The sequence below is a fragment of the Homo sapiens genome, chromosome 7 (genome assembly GCF_000001405.40).
Source record: "Homo sapiens chromosome 7, GRCh38.p14 Primary Assembly".
Taxonomy (NCBI): Eukaryota; Metazoa; Chordata; class Mammalia; order Primates; family Hominidae; genus Homo; species Homo sapiens.
Genome location: NC_000007.14, coordinates 143,042,577 through 143,064,084, shown reverse-complemented (window position 1 = coordinate 143,064,084; position 21,508 = coordinate 143,042,577). Strand labels below are relative to the sequence as shown.

Genomic DNA, 21,508 nt, shown 5'->3' with positions numbered 1-21,508 from the left:
AAAGAGGATGAAGATTCAGCAAAAAAGATGGAAGGAAATAATGTGTAAGGTATCTAGCGCATCTTCTGGCACAGGGAAAGAACAGTAAATATCAGCTATTATTTGAACAACAGACCATTACATTTGGCAGTTAGGAAGTGTTTACCCCTTCATCCTCAGACCCAGCCAAATGTCTTGCACAGAGTTGGAGCTTATTAAGTGTGTTGTACAATATAATCAATGAGTAGAAGACAGAAGAGGAAGAGCTTAAGAATGGTGATAATGTAGAGGTGGCCAAGTCATAAATCTGCTCATCCCAGCCAGTAATCCATTCCTCGCCCCAGGGAAACTCCTGCCTTTTGGGAATGTGTCTCCTGGGGTCAACTGTGCACACAGGCTAGTGTGCATGGGGAGCCAGGCCAGCACTATGGGGACCTGATTGAGAGAGAGGTTGATGGCAATCTCCTGCTAACAGTTCTCAACCTCTCACAGGTGTCACATAGAATGGGCATCAAGTGCAATGGGTAACTACAGCATTGTCAGGGAGTTTGTGCTCCTGGGATTTTCTTTTTTTTTTTTTTTTTTAATTGATCATTCTTGGGTGTTTCTCGTGGAGGGGGATTTGGCAGGGTCATAGGACAATAGTGGAGGGAAGGTCAGCAGATAAACAAGTGAACAAAGGTCTCTGGTTTTCCTAGGCAGAGGAGCTCCTTGGATTTTCTTATCTCCATGAGTTCCAGGTTCTGCTGTTTGCTCTGATCCTGTTGATATATGTGCTGATGCTGCTGGGCAACCTGGCCATCATCAGCTTCATTTGCCTTGATTCCCGCCTTCACTCACCCATGTACTTCTTCCTCTGCAACTTCTCCCTCATGGAGATGGTGGTCACCTCCACTGTGGTACATAGGATGCTGGCAGACCTGCTATCCACTCACAAGACCATGTCCCTGGCCAAATGCCTAACCCAGTCTTTCTTTTACTTCTCCCTGGGCTCTGCCAACTTCCTGATACTCATGGTCATGGCCTTTGATCGCTACGTGGCCATCTGCCACCCCCTGCGCTACCCAACCATCACGAATGGTCCAGTGTGTGTGAAGCTGGTGGTGGCCTGTTGGGTGGTTGGTTTCCTCTCCATTGTCTCTCCCACACTGCAGAAAACACGACTCTGGTTCTGTGGCCCTAACATCATCGGCCACTACTTCTGTGACTCTGCCCCGCTGCTCAAGCTTGCCTGCTCTGACACCCGCCACATTGAGCGCATGGACCTCTTCCTGTCCCTGCTCTTTGTGCTGACCACCATGCTGCTTATCATCCTCTCCTACATCCTCATTGTGGCTGCAGTGCTGCACATCCCTTCCTCCTCTGGATGCCAGAAGGCCTTCTCCACCTGTGCCTCTCACCTCACAGTGGTGGTTCTGGGCTATGGCAGTGCCATCTTCATCTACGTGAGGCCAGGCAAGGGCCACTCCACATACCTCAACAAGGCGGTGGCCATGGTGACTGCAATGGTAACCCCTTTCCTCAACCCCTTCATCTTCACCTTCCGGAATGAGAAGGTCAAGGAGGTCATTGAGGATGTGACTAAAAGGATCTTCCTTGGAGACCCAGCAGCCTGTAGGTGAGAGGGTGAGCCCTTGACAGGGCTAGAGAGCACCTGACAAGTCACGAGGAGTAGACTTGCTGCAGGTGGGCACCCACATGCCTAAGCTGGAGCTCCTCACTCTCTTTTTTCTCATTTTCTCCTGGTCCCTCATCTTCATGCAAGTTTCTTCTCCTGCACTGCAGAGAACTAATGGACACACATTGGTAGAATGTCTCAAAGGCAAGTTTCTGTGCACCTGGGATAGTTAAGGAATGGATAGGGAATGCAGAGTGAGTACAATGGGACGGTCTTAATTAAAAGAGATAATCCAAACAAATAAGGCTCTTAGTGCAGGGTCTGGCACATTAAGTAAGAGCTCAGTAAATGTAGCTATTATTAAAATGTCCTATTAAAACCTTTCTTTCTTAGCTCTGTGGTTTTGCTTGCATTCTTTTAAGTTTCCTTTATTTTGGATGTGTTTCCTTTTCAGGACCTGGCTTCAAGGTCTATGATAGAGTTCTGAAAATGGGAGGTGCTCTAAGAAGAGCAGAGAGGCCTGGCACCCCAACACAGGAGGAGCCATGTGCTTCTGTTGGCTCCCCTCTCTCGGCCTGACCGCTCCTGGATGGAAGCACCCCTCACACCCAGGCTGCCCACTTCTTCCATCTGGCCCCAAAGCCTCTTGCCTTTCCACAGAAATGGCTCTCTGGGAGCCACTCCTCCAACCCTCTTATAGAAAGTCATGAAGACCTTACCTTTTTCATGCACTTGAGAGTGGGGGAAAGCTGAGCTGCGTCTGCACTCTCAGACTTGCTGCCTTCCCCTTCCCGTGGGGCCACTACTTCCCTTCTACTGCAGAATCTTAGATCCAAGTTCCAGAAGAAGGACCAGTTGCCCAGGCCTTCTGAGGCTGGGTTTCCTGAGAGCAGCCTGGCCAGATTACCAGGGCCCCTGGATGGTAGAAGCAAAGGTGGTAGAAATCAGATGAGAAGGAGTAAACGGAGTGGGACTGGTGTTGTAGGTAACGTGGTGGGAGGGCTGATAAGAGAGGCATTCCTCGGAAATCTGGATGGCGTGAGAAGTCATGGGAAGATGGTAGGGGCAGGAAGAGATCCGGGTCTGGTTTCTTTTACTAGACTGAGTCTCAGCTGGGCTGGGCTAGGATTAGCAAAGCGGGGCAAAGAGTAGATGCAAACTTCCTCTCATTTCTGAAGCTGGTTCTGTCCACAGGATCCCTAGAGGAGAGGCCCTGCTCATAACTTGCAGTGTGGTGTCACAGTGTGGGAGCCACCCCACAGGGCCAAGACTATGAAGAATGGTTTCAGGGGAAGCCTTCCAGGACACAGAGCTTGGAGGCACCACTGTCTTACTGTCTCTGCCATTTAGCTTGATCTCTAACATAGCTCTTTTTCTTTTTCAACCCCCACAGTACATTTTTGCATTTGTGGGCCTTGCCAAAAGTGGGCAGATACTTCTGATTCTGCTGTAAAGACCAGCAGGGAAAAGTTTTTCATCCTGAGAACTTGTCTCTTTCACCTCCCAAGAGACTAATTACTTGCCCTCCTTGCAAACTTCCTGAAAAACTGAAGAGCTAAGTGGAAAGTAATTATCTCCTTCTGAGATGCAGATACTTTTCCTCAGCTTCTCCTCCTAAAATAATCAGCACAGGAGTCACTCAGTGTCCTCCCCAGGGACTCCTTCCTGCTACTCGCTCTTCTCTGCACATTCCCCCTCTTAAAAAACTAAAAATAATCAATAGCCTATAGCGGGCTATCTCCTGTTTTTCATAGGATTTCCTTGGAAGTGGGGTCTCTGGTCAGTTTTGGGGACGGTCTGACTAGCTTTGGGCCTTCATAGCAATCACCCCATGGAATCCAGCATCATGCAGCCTGACCTGCCCCACAGCCTTGCCTGTGGTTCTTTGCTCTTCAAAGTGTGATGCTTGAAACAGCACTGGCATCTCCTGGGAGCTTATTGGAGATGCAGAATCTCAGGCCCCACCTGAGACCTCCTAAATCAGAATCTGCATTTTTGCAGATCCCCGGGTGATTCCTATGCACGTTAATATCTGAGTAACGCTGAGCTAGACAATTTGCTGGTAGAGTTTTCAAACAATAAATTGTATAAGAAAGGCCTTGTTCCAATCTCAACAACGTGAAGGGCATTGGAAGAGGGAATTTGGGGACACATTTGCTATTGTTGGATCCATCATTCCTTAGTGACCTTTATCCCAGGTCCCATTTCCGGAGACAGTAGTAACCAGGATGAAGACCCTGAAGACTCTCATCCTAGTCTGACTTTAAGCTTCTTGAGTGACTTCAATCAATGGCCCAGCCTCTGACTCACTGTTAGAATTCTATGTGGATGTCACCTAGAGATGTCTAGATATATTGGTTCCAGACATTTGTCTTAATGTGGCAGGGATGTCAATGTGCACAATGGCAAATGAGACTCCTGGATAGATAGAAACGAAAAAATAATTTTTTAAAAATCTTGCAACTTGCTGGGAGGAATCTTGGGATTCCAGTTCCAAATCAAAGTAGCTGTTATAAAAGGCTCCTCAGGTTTAAGACATGATGTAAGTAAACCACAGCTTCATGGAACTGCAAGGGAGTTTGTAGGTCATGCAGGCCTGCCTCCCTCTGTCTCAGTGCAGGCATCCCCACTGCAACACACTGATCAGACTGGCTTAGGGACTCTGCTTGAACCAAGTCCAGGGATGGAGCATGCCCAGCGGTGGGAGGCAGCCCCTTTCTTCACTGCATGGTTCTAAATTTTAAGAAGAAATCCTTATGTCAAACCTCAATGTGACGTCCTCTAACCTTCACCCATTGTCCCAGTTCTGCCTTTTTCAGTTATGCAGGCAGACTAGCAGGTAAGCAAAGATATCTATGCATTCCCCTCCAAAATATTCAGGTTTACAAATAGGAGGTTGCATCAAACCGTTTCTAGAACTCTTGCCTTCTGCATTGCTTTGTTTGGTTCCTGTTAGGTGCATCTTGGAACTGACTGACGTACTAGTGTGGACAACTAACTGAGATGTAGTGCAGTGGGAAACCTTTCCTCTTGCTCTGTTGACTGCATTTCTTACCATCAACTAAGATGGCATTCCATGTTTAGGTTATCGTGCTAACTCATGTTCCAAATTCACATAAACCTCATGATTAATGACAGCTAGCATTTATTGAACACCTACTATATTCTAGGTACAGGAAAAACAAAGATCTATAAGGCACGACACCTAACATAAGGAGCTCAGAATCCACACATAGACAAAACTACATTGAACCAAGTCCAGAGATGGACCATTCCCAGCTGTGGGAGGAAGCCCCTTTCTTCACTGCATGGTTCAAATCTTAAGAAGAAATCCTTATATCAAACCTCAGTGTGACTTCCTCTGAGTTCCTGAAGGCAAAGCTCTTGGGGAATGCCCCATTTCTTTTGATTAAGTTGAAAGTTAAGCTGAAATGACTTTTTGAGGTCCAAAGAACAGTTTTATAGGCTGAGAAGAGGAAAAGTGAATTCCTGAGAGAGGCAACTGAGTGTGTAAAATAACATAGGCATAAAATGGTATATTGTGTAGACAACCAAAGCCTAAAGAGACGAGATTAATGAGTGGATTTCTGGAGACTGGCCATGGGTATCATCACTAATCAGACCCAAGCCCCCCAGGGGACCCGTAAGTGTCCTCTGCAAGATGCTGTACTCACTGAAATAACAGGGCATATTTGATAACAACAAACTTCAGTGTGTACATCAGTGTAGAAATCTCTGCTTGCCTAGGGCAATCATATTGTAGTCACCAAAGGTGCTATTTATCTTCAGCACTGAAACTGTATTGCCTTTAATTTTGCAAAAACCTAAGTAAGTTCAGAGAGCTTAGCTTTTCTGAAATGCTTGATTTCCCTCTCTGCCAGCAGCTGAATTAGTCACATGTTATACCCCTTTAAGGCTGGTTTGGTCGGGTCCTCCAACAAAAGGGAGGCATGGGGATGAGGCAGAGAATGGGGGATCTGCCTTCTGTGTCTGTGGAGGAGAGGGAAGGAAATCTGTGATGTCCCCTCTCCTTAGATCACAGCCAACTTCCTCCATGACAAGGACAAGGGCCTCATATACAGTCCTTTGGACTCACCCCCAGGGCTGGGTAACCCAAGAACTTCTGGGTGAATTGTCCACTGAGTGAGGGAAGTGGCAGAAACACAAGTGTGAGTGGTGAGCTGCCCAGCTGCTAGTGAAGAAGCCAAGTCCCCTCATATATGGAGGATCCTGTGTCTATCAGATAAAATAATTCATAAGTTCCCTTATAAGGGCAATTCCATGAGCTTTACCTCCATAGGACTTGGCAGGTGTCTAACTCAAGGGAAGGAGAATGACAGCAATGCAGCATTGACTGGGGAGCAGGATCTAAGGGAAACCCAGAGGTAGGATGCTAGTGATGTTCTGGAGCCTCCTGGAGAACCCATACTGGGGCATTGCTACAAGACTCCTGAGAATGTGGAAGGGACTTTGGAACTGGCTAACTGGCAGAGGCTGGAACAGTTTGGAGGGCTCAGAAGAAGATGGGAAGGTATGGGAAAGTTTGGAAGTTCCTAGAGACTTGTTGAATGATTTTGACCAAAATGCTGATAGTGATATGGACAATGAAGTCCAGGCTGAGGTGGTCTCAGATGGAGATGAGGACCCAAATGTTAGTAGCCAAGGCAATAGGGAAAATGTTTACAGAACACGTCAGAGACCTTCACAGCAGCCTCTTTCATCACAGCCCAGAGGCCTAGGAGGGAAAAATAGTTAATGGGCCAGGCCCAGGGCCCTGCTGCTCTGCACAGCGTCAGGACTTGGTGCCCTGCATCCCAGCCACTCCAGCTCCAGTCATGGCTAAAAGGAAAGAAGGTACAGCTCAGTTCATTGCTTCAGAGGGTGCAAACCCCAAGCATTGGCAGCTTCCACGTGATGTGGCAGAAGACAAGAGTTGAGCTTTGGGAACCTCTGCCTAGATTTCAGAGGACGTATGGAAATGTCTGGAAATCGACCGTTAAATTGGCAGGAATTAAATACAGGCATGATAAAAAAAATTAGATAACAGAAACTCAAAATCAAATAAGTTATGCTAAAAACAAAGGTGATTCATATTCAAAACTCCTAATTACTTTGCTATATTTTACTTTTGTCCATGAGATTGAGGTTATTTAGGCCACCTGTCTCAGTGTGGTGGAAATACTATATGGGGCTGCATGGTGGGGCATCTTTCCGTAACTCCAACTTCAGATGTCATCTCGGTAGCTTAAAACTGGACATGGTGAAAATATTGACACCAGGAAGTTGGCAAATGCTAGAAGTCAGCAAATGGAGAGAGGTGGCTAAACATTTACTATCAGACCACTGAGCCACGACCACCATTCCTCAGTACCCGTCAGGCATTGTTGAAAAAACATATGTACATCAGAAAACCTAGTGCTGAAAGAATTAGTGAATTAGATTGATATGAATCTAGTCCACTGTAGGCAACACTGACATTTTCTTAGTTTGACCCAGAGGGTTTTACACCTCACCACTCCTAAAATCCCATCTGTGCAGGGTCTTGATGTTGCTACCAACCACCGCAAGACCCAGGCCTGACTTTCCTTTGAAAAGTGATTATATGCCTTTGTCTTCCTTCTTCAAAAACTTTCATACCTTCAATTTCTTGCTCTCTAATCCTCCCAACTGGAAGAAATAAATCCATTTTTTTGGCTTCCCACTGGGATATACATGTGTGAGAATGGATTCTTGGGTTAGCCATTTAGAACTAGGATGCCAGACAAATGAAGGGTGTGTGGGAGGATATTTGGGGCCAGGGAAAACATTTTAGTTTCACGAAATCCTGTCATGATTTCGCCCACACTTAAATTAGTTCTGGGTATTGAAAGCAACCTTGCCCTCCTACCACCCTGAAATTAGGTTCCAGTGTAAGCCACTTCTATGAAGTGGAAAGGCTGTTGCCATCTGTGCATCTACATCCAACAACCTTACATAGACAAACAACCACATCAACTGTTCTCACCTCCCAGGGAAAATGATGTCATAGCAAAGGGACTGTGAATCCACTGTATAATTAACATTGTATATGAACAGAATCAAAATATTTATTCAAAATAAAAATATCTTACATGTGTAGGTATTATTTGCTCTATTTCAAATGTTTGTGGAAACAGTGGTGATAAATAAAATACAAATCTTTTTTTCCTTCTTTCCAACTTTTATTCTGGGTTCAAGGGGTACATGTGCAAGTTTGTTACCTGGGTAAATTGCATGTTGCTGAGGTTTGGTGTACAGATAGCTTTGTCACCCAAGTAATCAGCATAATACCTGATAGTTTTTCAATCCTCACCCTCCTCCCTCCCTCCATCCTAAAGTAGGTTCCAGTGTCTATTATACCCTTCTTTGTGTCCATGTATACTCAATATTTAGCTCCCATTTATAAGAGAAGATGTGGTATTTGGTTTTTTGTTTCTGTCTTAATTTGCTTAGGAAAATGGCTTCCAGCTCCATCTGAGTTGCTGCAAAGGACATGCCCTCACTCTTTTTTATGGCTGCATAGTATTCCATAGTGTATATGTACCACATTTTCTTTATCCAGTCCACCATTGATGGGCATCTAGGTTGCTTCTATGCCTTTGATATTGAAACACAAATCTTTAAAAGTAACATTGAATCTATACTTGCTTTCTGCCAATATGTGTTTCTTTCAAGTGATGGATACTAAATGTGCAATTACTGTGAGGAAGGGGTTACTAGAATTGTTGCCATTACAAATCTACAAACTTGTAGAATCTTGATAGATATGTGCTCAGTAAGGGTCTAGAGGAGGCAAAACTGAGCAGCTTCAGATCCTGGAGGTTCCAACTTTGAATTAACCCAACTTTTAATTCAGATGGAAGAAGAAAATTCCAAAGATGGGGAGATGGAAAAAAAGGTTTGAAGAACCAGATCCTGCTGTCGGTTCTGCAATTTCTTTGACCAACTCATTCTTCCTCTCAGCCATGTTTCCCTTACCCGCTAAAGCGGGTCGGGAACACCGCTTGCTGCAGTTTCAGAATCAGAAATTTTCCTTCCGAGCTCTCATACTCTATAGGAAAACACCTTATTGAAATTAACCACACTTTTAAATTTCTCTCAGTACATGGAACCCCTTGAGGTCAGACTCCTCATTTCTTTCATCTTTAACAGCCACTGCTGAGTGGAGTGTTTTGCTCATGATGGGTGATCAGTGAATATTTATTTAACTGAATTACTATGAGGGTAAAACCAAATGGAAAATATATGTAAAAGTGGTTCATAAAGTATGAAAAGTATACAAAAGTAAGATATTGTTAGTAGAATTATTCTTAATTTACTCATCCTTCTTTCATTTACTCTACAAATACTTTTCTAGGTAGCAAGCAGAGAATAAACAGAGGAAAAAAACATCAATTCATTCAATAGCAACTGCAAACAACAGAATCATTGCTCTGTTATGTAATTAAAGAACAAGCAAAATTTTGGTCCAGAAACTGAAACTGGGAATGTGAAAAGACCCTCCGACTTGGCTAAGGGGTATCTCAGCAAGAAAGAAAGACACTTTCAGAAAGCCAGAGAAAGGGATGCCTCGTTTAGGAAGGAGTTAGCTTGGGGTAAGAGGAGGTCACAAGGAGAACCAATGGGTTGGTAAGCAAGCTGCATCTCTCAAGCTCCAAATGAGCTTACCTCATTCATTTCCACATAGTGGATTTTTTAAATGCTTGACATTTGTGATAAATTAGTAGTTTTATTGTTTTCAAGTAAGTGTAGCTACGAATAAACTCCTGGTTGTAGTTTATATATCACAAATTGGGATATGGAGTTTGGTAAATTAAAGTGTACTTACAGAAACAGTGTGTCAAAACAACTTAAATTGGGGCTACTTTAGAAAATTCTGCATGGGCAAAAGCTAAGGGAACACCATGATCCTGAGGTCAAAGTAACTGGAAGATTTTAAAAATTTCAGGCTATAGTTGGAGGAGGGAGGACAGTGGAGCTGATGTTTAACTCCAAAGGCAGCATGGGACATAATAGATTTTCAAGAATTTTATACCCACACGTATGTGAATGTAATATAATGTTCATATTTTATGTAATGTACAATATAATATGTATGTGTGTAAAATAGGATATATAATCACTGAATAAGTGAACTTACTAGGTTTATTACAATCCCTTGCCTTTAGGCAAATGAATGTTTCTAATCATACAGGAGCAAAGTTTATTTTGTCTTTCTAAAACTCTGAATATTTCCTCTCTGGAAACCACATAATTCCTCACTAGCGGAGATTTATCTTGTTTTAATTTCTCTCTGTTTCATCTTTCTCTGATGCAAAGGTACCTGATGAATTGCACTCTCACAGTGTCCACCTTATAGTCAATGTGCTACTCAGGTGTCATCTTGTCAGGAAGCCGTCGCTGAGCCTCCTCCTGGTCTCAGTGTTGCTCCCCTGTGTGCTCATAATACCGTCTGTGAATCCACTGTTGCACGTTCCCCACTGTGCTGGAAACAGCTATTTATCACTTTTTCCTTCCTTAGGCCAAGAGCTTTGTCAGGTTAAGAACCATTTATGCCTTTTTTACCTTTCTACCCTCTACCTGTTACAGTGCCTGACACACACAGCCTACTCAATGTTGAAGAAATGAATGAATAAATGGATGAATAATTATACAAGGACCCAGTCCTCCTCCCAACACTCACACACACATTGAAAAACAATCAGTTTGTTTTTGGTAAGTTTTGCTTCTTCTCTTGATCCCATGTAGCCCAAGCACTTATGGTGCATACACTCAGCAGCAGTGCATACTGTGATAGAGAAGCACACCCGGAACATGCACACGCATACACACATATGTACACACATACACACCCATGCACACATACTGGGATTGGACACTACCTCTTGATCATAGAGCACTTCTTGGCTGCTCTTCCTTAAATGCAAAGCACATGCACTTCCCTTTACTGAAAGCTCTGGGCTACTCTCAGAGTTCTTACGGCTGCCAGGGGATGTAGGGAACTCTTCCATGGTGGTCCATAAGAGCTTTGGGCCAGACAGTGCAGCACTCAGGGCTCACTGTAGTTATTGCTCAGAGGGAAAAAAACTAAAGAAACTCAGCAGTGTTCTTCCCACTTGCTGGAGGTCTCCCTCCCCACAGAACTGCTCAATGGAGGCAGGCCAGGTTCCCCTGGGCCCTGGGCTCATCATTGTGCCTTGCAAAGGCCTTTCAGCCTCTGCATCTGCCCCTGTAGCACTGTTTTAACTGTCTGATTGCAGAAGGTAAGGATAAAGGGATTGAGAAAGGGGGTGAGAACTGAAGTCACCAAGGCCACGACCTTCCTGACTTGCACAGAGTGAGCTTTGCCAGGCCTGACATACAGAAAGATGGTACTACTGTAGCCGATGAAGACCAGTGTGAGGTGAGACCCGCAAGTGGAGAAAGCCTTCTGGCAGCTGCTGGCAGAGGGGATCCGCAGCACAGTGGTCACTATGTAGCCATAGGAGATGAGGGTCACCAGGAAGGAGCTGAGGACAAAGGTCAAGGCCATCAGAAAGTCCCAGAATTCCAACAGGCGAGTGTCAGAGCATGACAACTGCAGGAGAGGTTCATTGTCACAGAAGAAGTGGTTGATGACGTCGCCATGGCAGTAATCAAGATGAGCTCGGGAGAGGACAGTGGGTACCATGGCTAGGAAAGGAGCTGCCCAGGCAGCCCCAGCCAGCTGGACACACATAGCCCGGCTCATCAGAGTGCCATAGCGCAGTGGGTGGCAGATGGCCACAAAGCGATCAAGGGCCATGTCTGTCAGGATGAGGAAGGAGGTGGACCCCAGGGAAAAGTGGAAGTAGAACTGGACCATGCAGCCAGTGAAGGTAATGACTTTGTGGGGGACCAACAGGTCTGAGAGCATCCTGGGCACTGCAGTCATGGTTACCAAGATCTCCAGCAGGGAAAAATTGCCCAGGAAGAAGTACATGGGTGTATGTAGGTGGGTGTCAGCTATGACCATAACTATGATGATGGTGTTTCCCATGAAGGCGAGAAGATAAAGCATGAGGAAGGGGCCATACAGAAGGGCCTGCAGCTCACCAAAGGAGGAGAAGCCCAAGAGGACAAATTCGGAGGGCTGGCTCAGATTTGCCATGATCCACAGTATGGGGCCCTGCATGCAAGAGAAACAAAAGACAGACGGAGAGGCAGAAACAGAGAGATAGAGACAGAGAACCATTGAACTTGAAACAGAAGAAACAGGGACAGAGACAGAGAATAGAGAGAGAAAGGCAAGTAGCCAGCGAGTGATAAACAGAAAAGCAGAAAGAAACGGCAATAAAGAAAGATAACAAAACAGGAATGGGAGAGTCAAGGAGAAACAGAGTGAGGGTATGAGAGAAGTGAAAGACATAGAAAGCCATTATTAAGAAGAGAGAAGGCTGGGGATGGTGGTTCATGCCTGTAATCCCAGCACTTTGGGAGGCCGAGGCAGGGGGAACACTTGAGGTCAGGAGTTCAAGACCAGCCTGGCCAACATGGTGAAACCCTGTCTCTACTAAAAATACAAAAATAAGCCAGGTGCAGGCAACTGTAATCTCAGCTACCTGCAAAACTGAGGCATGAGAATCGCTTGAACCTGGGAGGTGGAGGTTGCAGTGAGCCGAAATCGTGCCACTGCACTCCAGCCTGGGTGACAGAGTGAGACTCCATCTCAAAAAAGAAAAAAAAAAAGGGGGGGAAGAAAGAAAAACAGAGGAAAAGATTAAGGAAGACCACATGGCAACAGACATTGACATTTAGGGAGAAAACAAGAAGGAAACAACAGAGGACCAGAGAAAGAACAGAAAAAATTCAAATAGAGAAATACAGGAAGGGGAGGAACACAGAAAAAGAGAGGGAGAGAGAGCATTAGTGCATGTGACCCAGAAGCCCCCAAATGTAGGCTAATCCGTCTATGTCACACCCAGAGGTTGTGCCCCAAGACCCTTTTTAAAGGGTCCCTGCAAACCTTTCTGAGCTGCCTCTCTGAGGACCCTCGCTTGTGCACATTTCTCCGGCTATGATCATGAAATTAGTGAAAGTCAGAGTTTTGAGTCCAGAAATTAACTTCCTTTAGAGGAGACCTCTGCTTCGTGTTTGCAAAGATGGAGAGCAGAAAGGGTGCAGCAGGTCAGGGAGCGAGCCTGGAAATCCAAGTGGCTGCTCTCCCAGGACACACACAGTCATCAGGCTTCCCAACGGCATAATCTGTCTACCCAAGGGTGCTGCTTTGCCGTCTCCATTGCACTTCCCCTCCCGCCGTGGTGCAAAGTGTAAGCTATGGAGTTGGCTTGCCTGTGTTTGAATTCTGGCTCTAGACTTGCTTGTCACGGGCCGTAAATCTGCTCTTCTTTGTTACTTACTCTCTCTGAGCCCGTTTATTCAGCTGTAAAATAATGGTATTACTGGTACTTAGCCTCTATGGTGATTATAAAATTAAATAAGTAAACTACTTAGTGCAGTGACTAGCACATACTAGCCAACAAATCGTTGTTGTTATTGTTATCACTGTTCTTATTGTTAGACCGTCAATAGAACTCAAATTTTTTTTGCCCATCATCTCTCTACACTTCTTCTCATTGCCAGCATGTGTGTGTGTGAAGATCTTTACAGCTTTACACTGTTTCTTGGAATTTCAGTTCACTAAAAGGGTACTTTAAAACATTTCAAACACAAACAAAGTATTTACAACACAAACTGTCAGGAGTGGAAGGAGTGAAGCTGTGTGTAGATATACTCTGGCCCTTTCTCCAGCCCCATAAATGCTTCATTTGGGGTTGTGTCCTGGCCACACAGCAATGACATTCTAATTTTAAAAAGCCTTGCACCCGGCCAGGCGCGGTAGCTCACGCTTGTAATCCCAGCTGTTTGGCAGGCTGAGGTGGGCGGATCACGAGGTCAGGAGTTCAAGACCAGCCTGGCCAACACAGTGAAACCCCGTCTCTACTAAAAATACAAAAATTAGCTGGGCATGGTGGCGGGCACTTGTAATCCCAGCTACTTGGGAGGCTGAGGTAGGAGAATCACTTGAACCTGGGATGTGGGATTGCAGTGAGCTGAGATCATGCCAATACACTCCAGCCTGGATGACAAAGCTAGACTCCATCTCAAAAACAATAAAAAATAAATAAATAAATAAATAAATAAATAAATAAATAAATAAAGCCTTGCACCCATGCCACTGGCAAGCCTTAACGGTAGGTCTAAAATCCTAAAATCTACCCCAGCACTGACTAAATTCAAACCCAGTCCTTATGTTTGTGTTGCATGAGAACCTGACTGACATACAGACTTCCCCCCCTCACCTTAGCCTCCAAGCCTGTTGTCTTCTTTGTAAGCTGCTCTCACTTAGGCATTCATACCTGGAGACACCTGCCTACTGGCCTCACTCTATAACATGAATGACATCAGAGATGCAGTCTCTTTCCCTTGGGTTGTGTCTTGCGGCTGGAAAGGGTGGAAAGGGGCTTTGTGCACAGCTTGGAAGAGGTGGCACTGCTGGGTGAGCTAAAACTCTGCCAGTCCTTATGCTGATTTTCTAATTCAGCACCTACCCTGTGTCACTACAAAGCCAGGGGCAGCAGCATTGATGTGGGGCTGGGAGATGGGAAATAAGTCCCTCAGGAGACCAGAGGGGAAAGGTGCTGATTCTGTCCATTCTCTCTCAAGGATGAGTGTTTTCAGCTCTTTCTCTCATCCACATCTCCAAGTCCTTCGTGTCTTGATGATGTTTACAGTTCAGCTTATGCTGGATGGGAAACTTAGACTCCAGCAGAGTGTTTTCTGTGGGAATGACAGGAAGCCAAGGAGCCCTCTGGGGACTTCTGAGGCACTGACGTTGCTCCTTAGAATAATGAGATGTCCTCTGTTTTGAGGAAGTAACATTTGAGAAAAAGATCTGAATAAAGAAATGGATAAAGACCCAGATACACCCAAGCAGCTGACGGCTTAGGATCAGCACCTCGGCAGTGCCTGTCTCCTGGCCCTTCCCCTCCTCCCAGGACCATGGAAAAAATATGAGATCATGGAAAAAACACAAAGGAATTTTCCCAGCTGGACTAAAATTATGACAGCCTGGGTACCTAGCCAGGGCTGGATCCAGAGTTTCCATTTGCAGACAAAATCTCCAAGTGGATCCAGGGTTTAGGGATCTAGGGAGGCAGGGAATGGAGGCCCTGGACCATAGCAGCCTCTTGTTAAAATTCTCCAAAGAAAGTATCATTTGGAGAAGTCTGGGAATCAAACAGATATCTGCCTCCAGAGGCAGGGCCCTTGGTGGACACATCTTGGGATCTGGCTCCTGTGAGAAGATACACACCCTGGGGACAAAGGTAAAGGGAATATGGGGAGGCCACTCCAAGCTTCCAGCTCCCTAGTAAACTCTGAGTCACAGTCTTTCATCTCAGAGACATTTAAACCTTATGCATGATACCCAGTGCAACCCCACCCACACTGAGACAGAAATAATGACTCAAAGATTTCAAGGAAAAGCTGTGCAATGAAGGTAGTACAGATGGGCCCTGAGGTTAAGAATAACCAGGGCTGGAGGGGTTGACCAGGCAATCTTTCTGTAGGACTTGAGCTTGGAACTGAGATTTGGAGCTGACCCATTGAAAGCAAAGAAGAGGCTGGGAACGGTGGCTCATGCCTATAATCCTAGCACTCTGAGAGGCCAAGGTGGGTGTATCACTTGAGGTCAGGAGTTCCAGACCAGCCTGGCTAACATGGTGAAACCCTGTCTGTACTAAAAATACAAAAAATTAGCCTGTAATCCCATTTACCCAGGAGGCTGAGGCAGGAGAATTGCTTGAGCCCATGAGGCAGAGGTTGCAGTGAGCCAATATCGTGCCACTGCACTCCGGCCTGGGTGGCAAAGCAAGACTTCGTCTCAAAACAAAAACAAAAACAAAAAGAAAGAAAGTAAAGAAAAATGTAGGTCACAAGGCTAGAAATGGAGGAGGAAGAAGAAAGGAGCCAGTTGCTAGCAGGGAGCTCAGGTAGGAAGACAGGTCCTGGGCAGAGCAGGGCTGGAGGCAGGGGCTTGGGAATTGAAAGGCAGGAGCATAGGTCGGGGCTACATGGGCCTTCATGACTATTCATTTTCTATTGCTTCTGTAGCCAATTACCACAAATTTTGTAGCTTAAACAACACAAATTTATTACCTGACAAATTCTCCAGGTCAGTAACTTGACCAGGCCTCAATGAGCTAAAATCAAGGCGTCATCAGGGCTGCCTTCCTTTCTGGAGTCTCCTTGCTTTTCCACCTTCTAGAAGCTGCCCACATTCCTTGGCTTATTGTTCCCTCGTCCATCTTCAAAGCCAGTCACATGTGTCTCTCAGAACCGTCTTCTGTCATCACTTAGCCCTCTGACTGAACTCAGAGGAGAAGTTTCTCCACTTTTACAAATCCCTAAGATTAGATTCAGCCCATCTGGATCACCCCTAAGATTAGATTCAGCCCACCTGGATCGCCCAGGCTAATCCCCTCATCTCAAGGTCTTCAACCCAATCACACCTGCAAAGTCCCCTTTCCTATGTAAAGCAACATTTCACAAATTCCAAGGATTAGGGCTTGGACATCGTTGAGGGGGCATTCCTCTGCCTATCGCAATGACTACCATGCAGCTTTGGTGCCTGGTGAACCACTTATTTGACCAGATCCATTCATCTTTACACAATTGTGTTCATTCCTTAATAAATATGTAGCGTCAACTCGGTTAAATGATCATAACATAGAGCAGGCTCCATAATCCAGGAGCATAATCCTAAATCTGTCCTTATTTCCTTTGGGATTAAAGGCATGTGGAGCAATGTTAATTCTTGTTTCCTTTCTAGCCTTCCCAGAGAGAAAGAGCTAGGATTGAAACAGCGAGGGGAACTACTCTAGTGCCACTCAATTCTGTCTCCTGGGCTTCCCAGGCTTTGAGGAACTGCCCCATTTCCTTTTGGTTAACTTCTTCTTTCACTTGATGAGATTAATGGGAAATGCAGTCATTTACATGGTTGAATTGATGAAGTCTTCAGTCTCCCGGGGATTTCTTCCTCAGTCAACTCTTCATCTTTTCACACAGTCTATTAATGGACATTTCCATTGTTATTGCTTCTTTGATCCAGATTGATTCCTACTCCAGTATCCCCTCAGCCTCTGGCCAAAAAATAATCCTTCTCCACTCATGCCTCCCATTTCACCTGTGTGGTGATTGACTATGACAGCTGCTTGTTTCTCTACGTGAAACCCAAGCAAATTTGGGCAGCAGAATAAAACAAGGTAGTTTTCCTGTTTATTTTCCTGTTGACCCCCTTTCTGAACCTTCTTACAGGTCAGATTTACTGACCTAAATCAGTTTTAGGTGGGCCAGTCCTCATGGATTCTAAGGTAATCTGGAAAATACTAACAAATATCTAAGCTAAAGCATCTTTATTTTCATCATCAAACCATATGTAATTATCACACTCAGGCCCTTGGAAGTGGGCAAAATACACAAACATAAAAACCAACCTGCTTATCAGTAACTGATAATCTGAGCTACTTCTTGTTTCAGTTGTTTTGTAATAAAATTATTGTTTTGTTTTTGAAAATCTGAAGAAGAAAATGCCTGAAGTCGGGGAAGAGCTTGAGAAAGGAGCTGTATATGTTCCTGGGGGCGTTAGATTGCACTGTAATCATCTCTGAATGTGCATTTCCAGAAGAGGAAGAGAGTCCAGGGACTACAATAAAAATGTCAGCACCTCTGCTCAGATCTGCCCTACTGTTTCCTGGGATATGTTGACATTTTGACTTGCATTATTAGACTCAATCTCATAAAGCTGTGCCTGGCCATTAGGTGAGACACAGATTACTCCCTGGTGTACTCTTTTTCTTGGATGTGCCATATCTAATCTTGGCCCATTGCTACTACAAAGCAACTCTTTTTCTCTACATTTTGGCATAAAGCCAACTTGGAGTGGCACGAGGACAATATGTTTAGAAAGGGGTGGATGGAATGTTTGAACATGTTTGGTGGTAGGGACAGAAGAAAATTTATGATCAAATTTTTGGCAACTATTTAACTCATCTCGTTTTGTTCATGGTAAAGGAAGGAGGTAAGGAAGGATTGAATGGCTCACTCTAGATGCCTGAATTTTTTCTTTATATGCTACAGGAATCCTTTGTTTTCATGATGTGCTCTGCCTCCCAAAGCCAGATATCCTCTGACTGGGGGCTTTTCTGCCCCAATCTCCAGCTGTCTTCTATGACATCTCTGCAGATTTTCACTGCTGGCAGAGTTGAGAGTGGGAGTTTCCTCCCTCAATTCTGACTTACTAACAAATCAGGGGATGGGGTAGCTCCCTATTAATGCACAGAAATATGTAACTGCTAGATTTTCAGACAGATTGGAGGAAGAAATTATCTCACATGATAATACCTGTAGGCTGGAATCAGACAGAAAATAGTTTTCTTGAGAATTGATGTGGGTCACCTGGAGAATTGAAGAGTCTAGCAAGAGGGCACTTGCCTGGTGGTGGATGGAGATAGGAGCTGAATTAGGGCCCCTGAGTAAAATTGTGTGGCTTGTAGACTGTACAAAGGTGGTGATGGAGAGACTGAAGGGGCACATGGGGGCTGAAGGAGCTGCATCTACCTGATGGAAAGGGGCACCCATTTTATGCACAAAGATGATACACAGTACTTGTGCCAAAATGTCTTGCTTTATCCTCCCAACTGATCCCAGACAGTTTGCTTAGATGTCTAAAACAAATACAAATCATAGGCTTTATTTGATCTACTTGTCAAATAAGATTGTCACAGATGTCACATATGGTCACTTTTGCCATACTTTTATGAGTCCAAGCAACACAAGATTCAAGAGGCAGGGGCATAGAGCCATATCTTTTTTTTTTTTTTTTTTTTGAGACAGAGTCTCACTCTGTCACCAGGCTGGAATGCAGTGGTGTGATCTCAGCTCACTGCAACCTCCGCCTCCCAGGTTCAAGTGATTCTCCTGCCTCAGCCTCCTGAATATCTGGGATTACAGGCATGCACCAACATACCCAGGTAATTTTTGTATTTTTAGTAGAAACAGGGTTTTACCATGTTGGCCGGGATGGTGTCGATCTCCTGACCTCGTGATCCGCCTGCCTCAGCCTCCCAAAGTGCTGGGATTACAGGTGTGAGCCACCGCACCCAGCCAGAGCCATATCTTAATGGGAGGAGTGCCAAAAAATTTGTGGCCCTTTAAAAAACCTGTCATGGATAAGTCAACAAAATTTTCTTTTTCTAAGGCTTAGACTACTCTGTCAGATATCTGATCCTGAATGGAAAGAAAGACACTAACTCACCCCACTCTCTTTTCACTCCCCTTCTCAGAGAACAGGAGGCTGCAGTATCTGAAGTCAAGCTTGTTCTGATACTACACTGTATTTCTTCCTTTTTGTCCATTTATGAGGAAGGCAGACACATTGCCCCACTGGGAGTTTTATATCACCCAAGCTGCAAGCATCTCTGAAACATAAAAACAACAAAATATTACTCTGTCTATCACACATGCACATCGCGAGGCCTCAAAAACATCTTGCTTTACTCCCACAACTGATCCCAGACAGTTTGCTTAGATGTCAAACACAAATACGATTCATAGACCTTATTTGATCTACTTGTCACTAAGCTTAAAAACCACACAGCACAGTCTTGATTTTTGCATATATCGTAATACGTCTCTTAAAATGTGTGATAAATTTTTGTGTAACACATTCTGTTAATGAATGCTTATTTTTCAGTTAACCATTTAGCTCTCAAAAATTAGAGAAAAATTTATTTTAACAAAAAAAGCAAGACTTTTTAAAAAGTTTCTTTATCTGTGAGGTTTTTCTTGGTAAAAGAATCCATGACTCTTGGAAAATTTGGTAAGGGTTATACAACTTATGTTTTTCTTTACATAAATATTCCTACATATCTGAGCTCAAAGCATTAGTAAATGTTTGTGTGATATAAAAACTGATCCTAAAACCTGTTTTCTATTAATATTCTAATTTTTCAGAGTAAGGAAGGGGTGGAGCAAGGCAAATAAATCGTGAATGATATGGGCTGCAATGGTAGACAAATGACAAATAGGGATGTCTCCTGCACCTGGCTGGAATGGCTTTCAATCCTTAATCATATTGACAATAGTGGCTGCATGGTGGCTCATGACTGTAATCCCACCACTTTGGGAGGCTGAAGCAGGAGGATTGCTTGAGCCCAGGAGTTCGAGACCAGCCTGGGCAACATAGTGAGACTCCATTTCTACAAAAAATACAAAAATTAGATGGGTGTGGTGGTGCGTGCTTGTAGCCCCAGCTATTCAGGAGGCTGAAGTGGGAGGATCACTTGGGCCTGGGAGTTCTGCAGTGAGCTATGATTGCACCACTGCACTCCAGCCTGTGTGACAGAGGTAGACCCTGTCTCAAAAGAAAAGAAACAAAACAAACAAACAAAAACATTGATAGTAGCTACTAACACCAGCTACTGCATGGTAGAGTTTGAATTTGAATCAGATCTGATCCCAAAGACTCTGCTCTTAATTTTTATGTCATTTTGTCTCACCAACCTAAACATAATCCAAACTTGTATATCATTACATTGCTTATTGATTTATATTGATTATATAAAAGATATCTTGCTGATTGAATGAGAAGAATATGAGAGACATAGGAGAAAAAAATCACATGTAATGACTACAGATTTATTCTGGAGTTAACCTGTGAGGGAGAATTATTATATTCAGTTTTTAGATAACAATGTAGAATCTCACAGAGCTTAAGTAAATGTCAGTGTTTCTCAGTCATCACATGTTGGGGCCTGAGACCGAAGCTCTGATTTCACCCACTTCACACACTGTCCTTTCCCTCTATATCATGCCAAGAATAGTAATGCTATGACTGTTTCAGATATTCTGTAGCTCAGCAGTGACAGAAACTGTGAAACTGAAATTACTTACATTATTTGATAAGCTAAACCCAAAATTCATGAGGAAGAGAATAAGTAAAACAAACAAACAAACAGAAACCCAGACGTTTATAATGGACAAATAATTGTTCACTCATATTTGTTGTCCTTCCTGGAGGTGACCCTCCCAGTGGGAATATCACATATTTTTGCTCCATTAATTCAGGAGTGGTCGAGTGATTTTCTTCAGCCAGTGAGATATGGGTAGAAGTAATGAGAGTCACTTCATAGCAAGAGCTTTAAGGGTTGGCATTTGAGTCACATTCCCTTTTTCTCCACATCTGAGATCATGGAAGAATGTGTTTAAAGGGAGCTTTCTACTGCTCCAGTCCCTACAGTATAATAATGAGCAGAGTCTACTTCCTGGCTAGTGATGGGCGCATGGCATGAGTGAGAAACAAACATAGTTGTTAAAAGCCGTTGAAAGATTTGAGTTATTGGTGACTTCAGCGTGACCTTGCTGTAGCAGATGTTGTTAGTGTTACATTCTAATCCCTTAAGTTTCCTTTCATCGTTTCTGTGTTAAGCCCTATGTACCTTTGTGGTCAGAGATAAAGAAAGGCCAAGGTTCACAGGAGAGAGCCAGTGTGGATGCGAGAAACACAAAACCAGAGAGGCGAGGTGTTAGAAAAGCAGTAATGGAGAGAAAGTGAGAGACAGAGAGACACAGGAGGCCCAGGAATGCAGACAGAAAGCTAGAAGGAATAAAAGGTAACCCAAGAGAAGCAGCAGAAGTGACAAAGAAAAGCAGAAATTGTGAGCAGAAGGAGGGAGGAAAGGCAGGCAGGACACGGGACTGAGCATGGCCAGAGGCTGAGCACAGAAGCCAGTCTAAAGCACCCCTGTGAGGCTTTCTAGATGCCCCTCTGCTGAGAACTCTCACTCAGCCACATATTTCCAGCTTTCAGCAGCA

The 21,508-nt window shown here is 44.4% G+C and overlaps 1 protein-coding gene and 2 pseudogenes across 2 annotated transcripts, besides 1 other annotated feature; 2 read left to right on the top strand and 1 right to left on the bottom strand.

Annotated features, from left to right (window-relative positions):
- The first annotated feature begins 299 nt into the window (after window positions 1-299).
- OR6W1P (olfactory receptor family 6 subfamily W member 1 pseudogene) lies at window positions 300-1,801 on the top strand (annotated as a pseudogene). Its single transcript, NR_002140.1, has one exon. The product of NR_002140.1 is annotated as an olfactory receptor family 6 subfamily W member 1 pseudogene (transcript).
- A 9,001-nt stretch (window positions 1,802-10,802) lies between these two features.
- Window positions 10,803-11,744, bottom strand: OR6V1 (olfactory receptor family 6 subfamily V member 1). Its single transcript, NM_001001667.1, has one exon. It carries the CDS (start codon window positions 11,742-11,744, stop codon window positions 10,803-10,805), a length of 942 nt encoding a protein of 313 aa, NP_001001667.1.
- Window positions 14,350-15,549: an enhancer, noted in NCBI's record as "CDK7 strongly-dependent group 2 enhancer chr7:142745637-142746836 (GRCh37/hg19 assembly coordinates)". NCBI's record gives its function as "activates an origin of replication core promoter dependent on BRD2, BRD4, P300/CBP, MED14 and CDK7 cofactors, with strong dependence on CDK7, by STARR-seq in HCT116 cells {active_cell/tissue: HCT116}" and the evidence as "EXISTENCE:reporter gene assay evidence [ECO:0000049][PMID:35650434]".
- Window positions 16,313-17,018, top strand: OR9P1P (olfactory receptor family 9 subfamily P member 1 pseudogene; annotated as a pseudogene).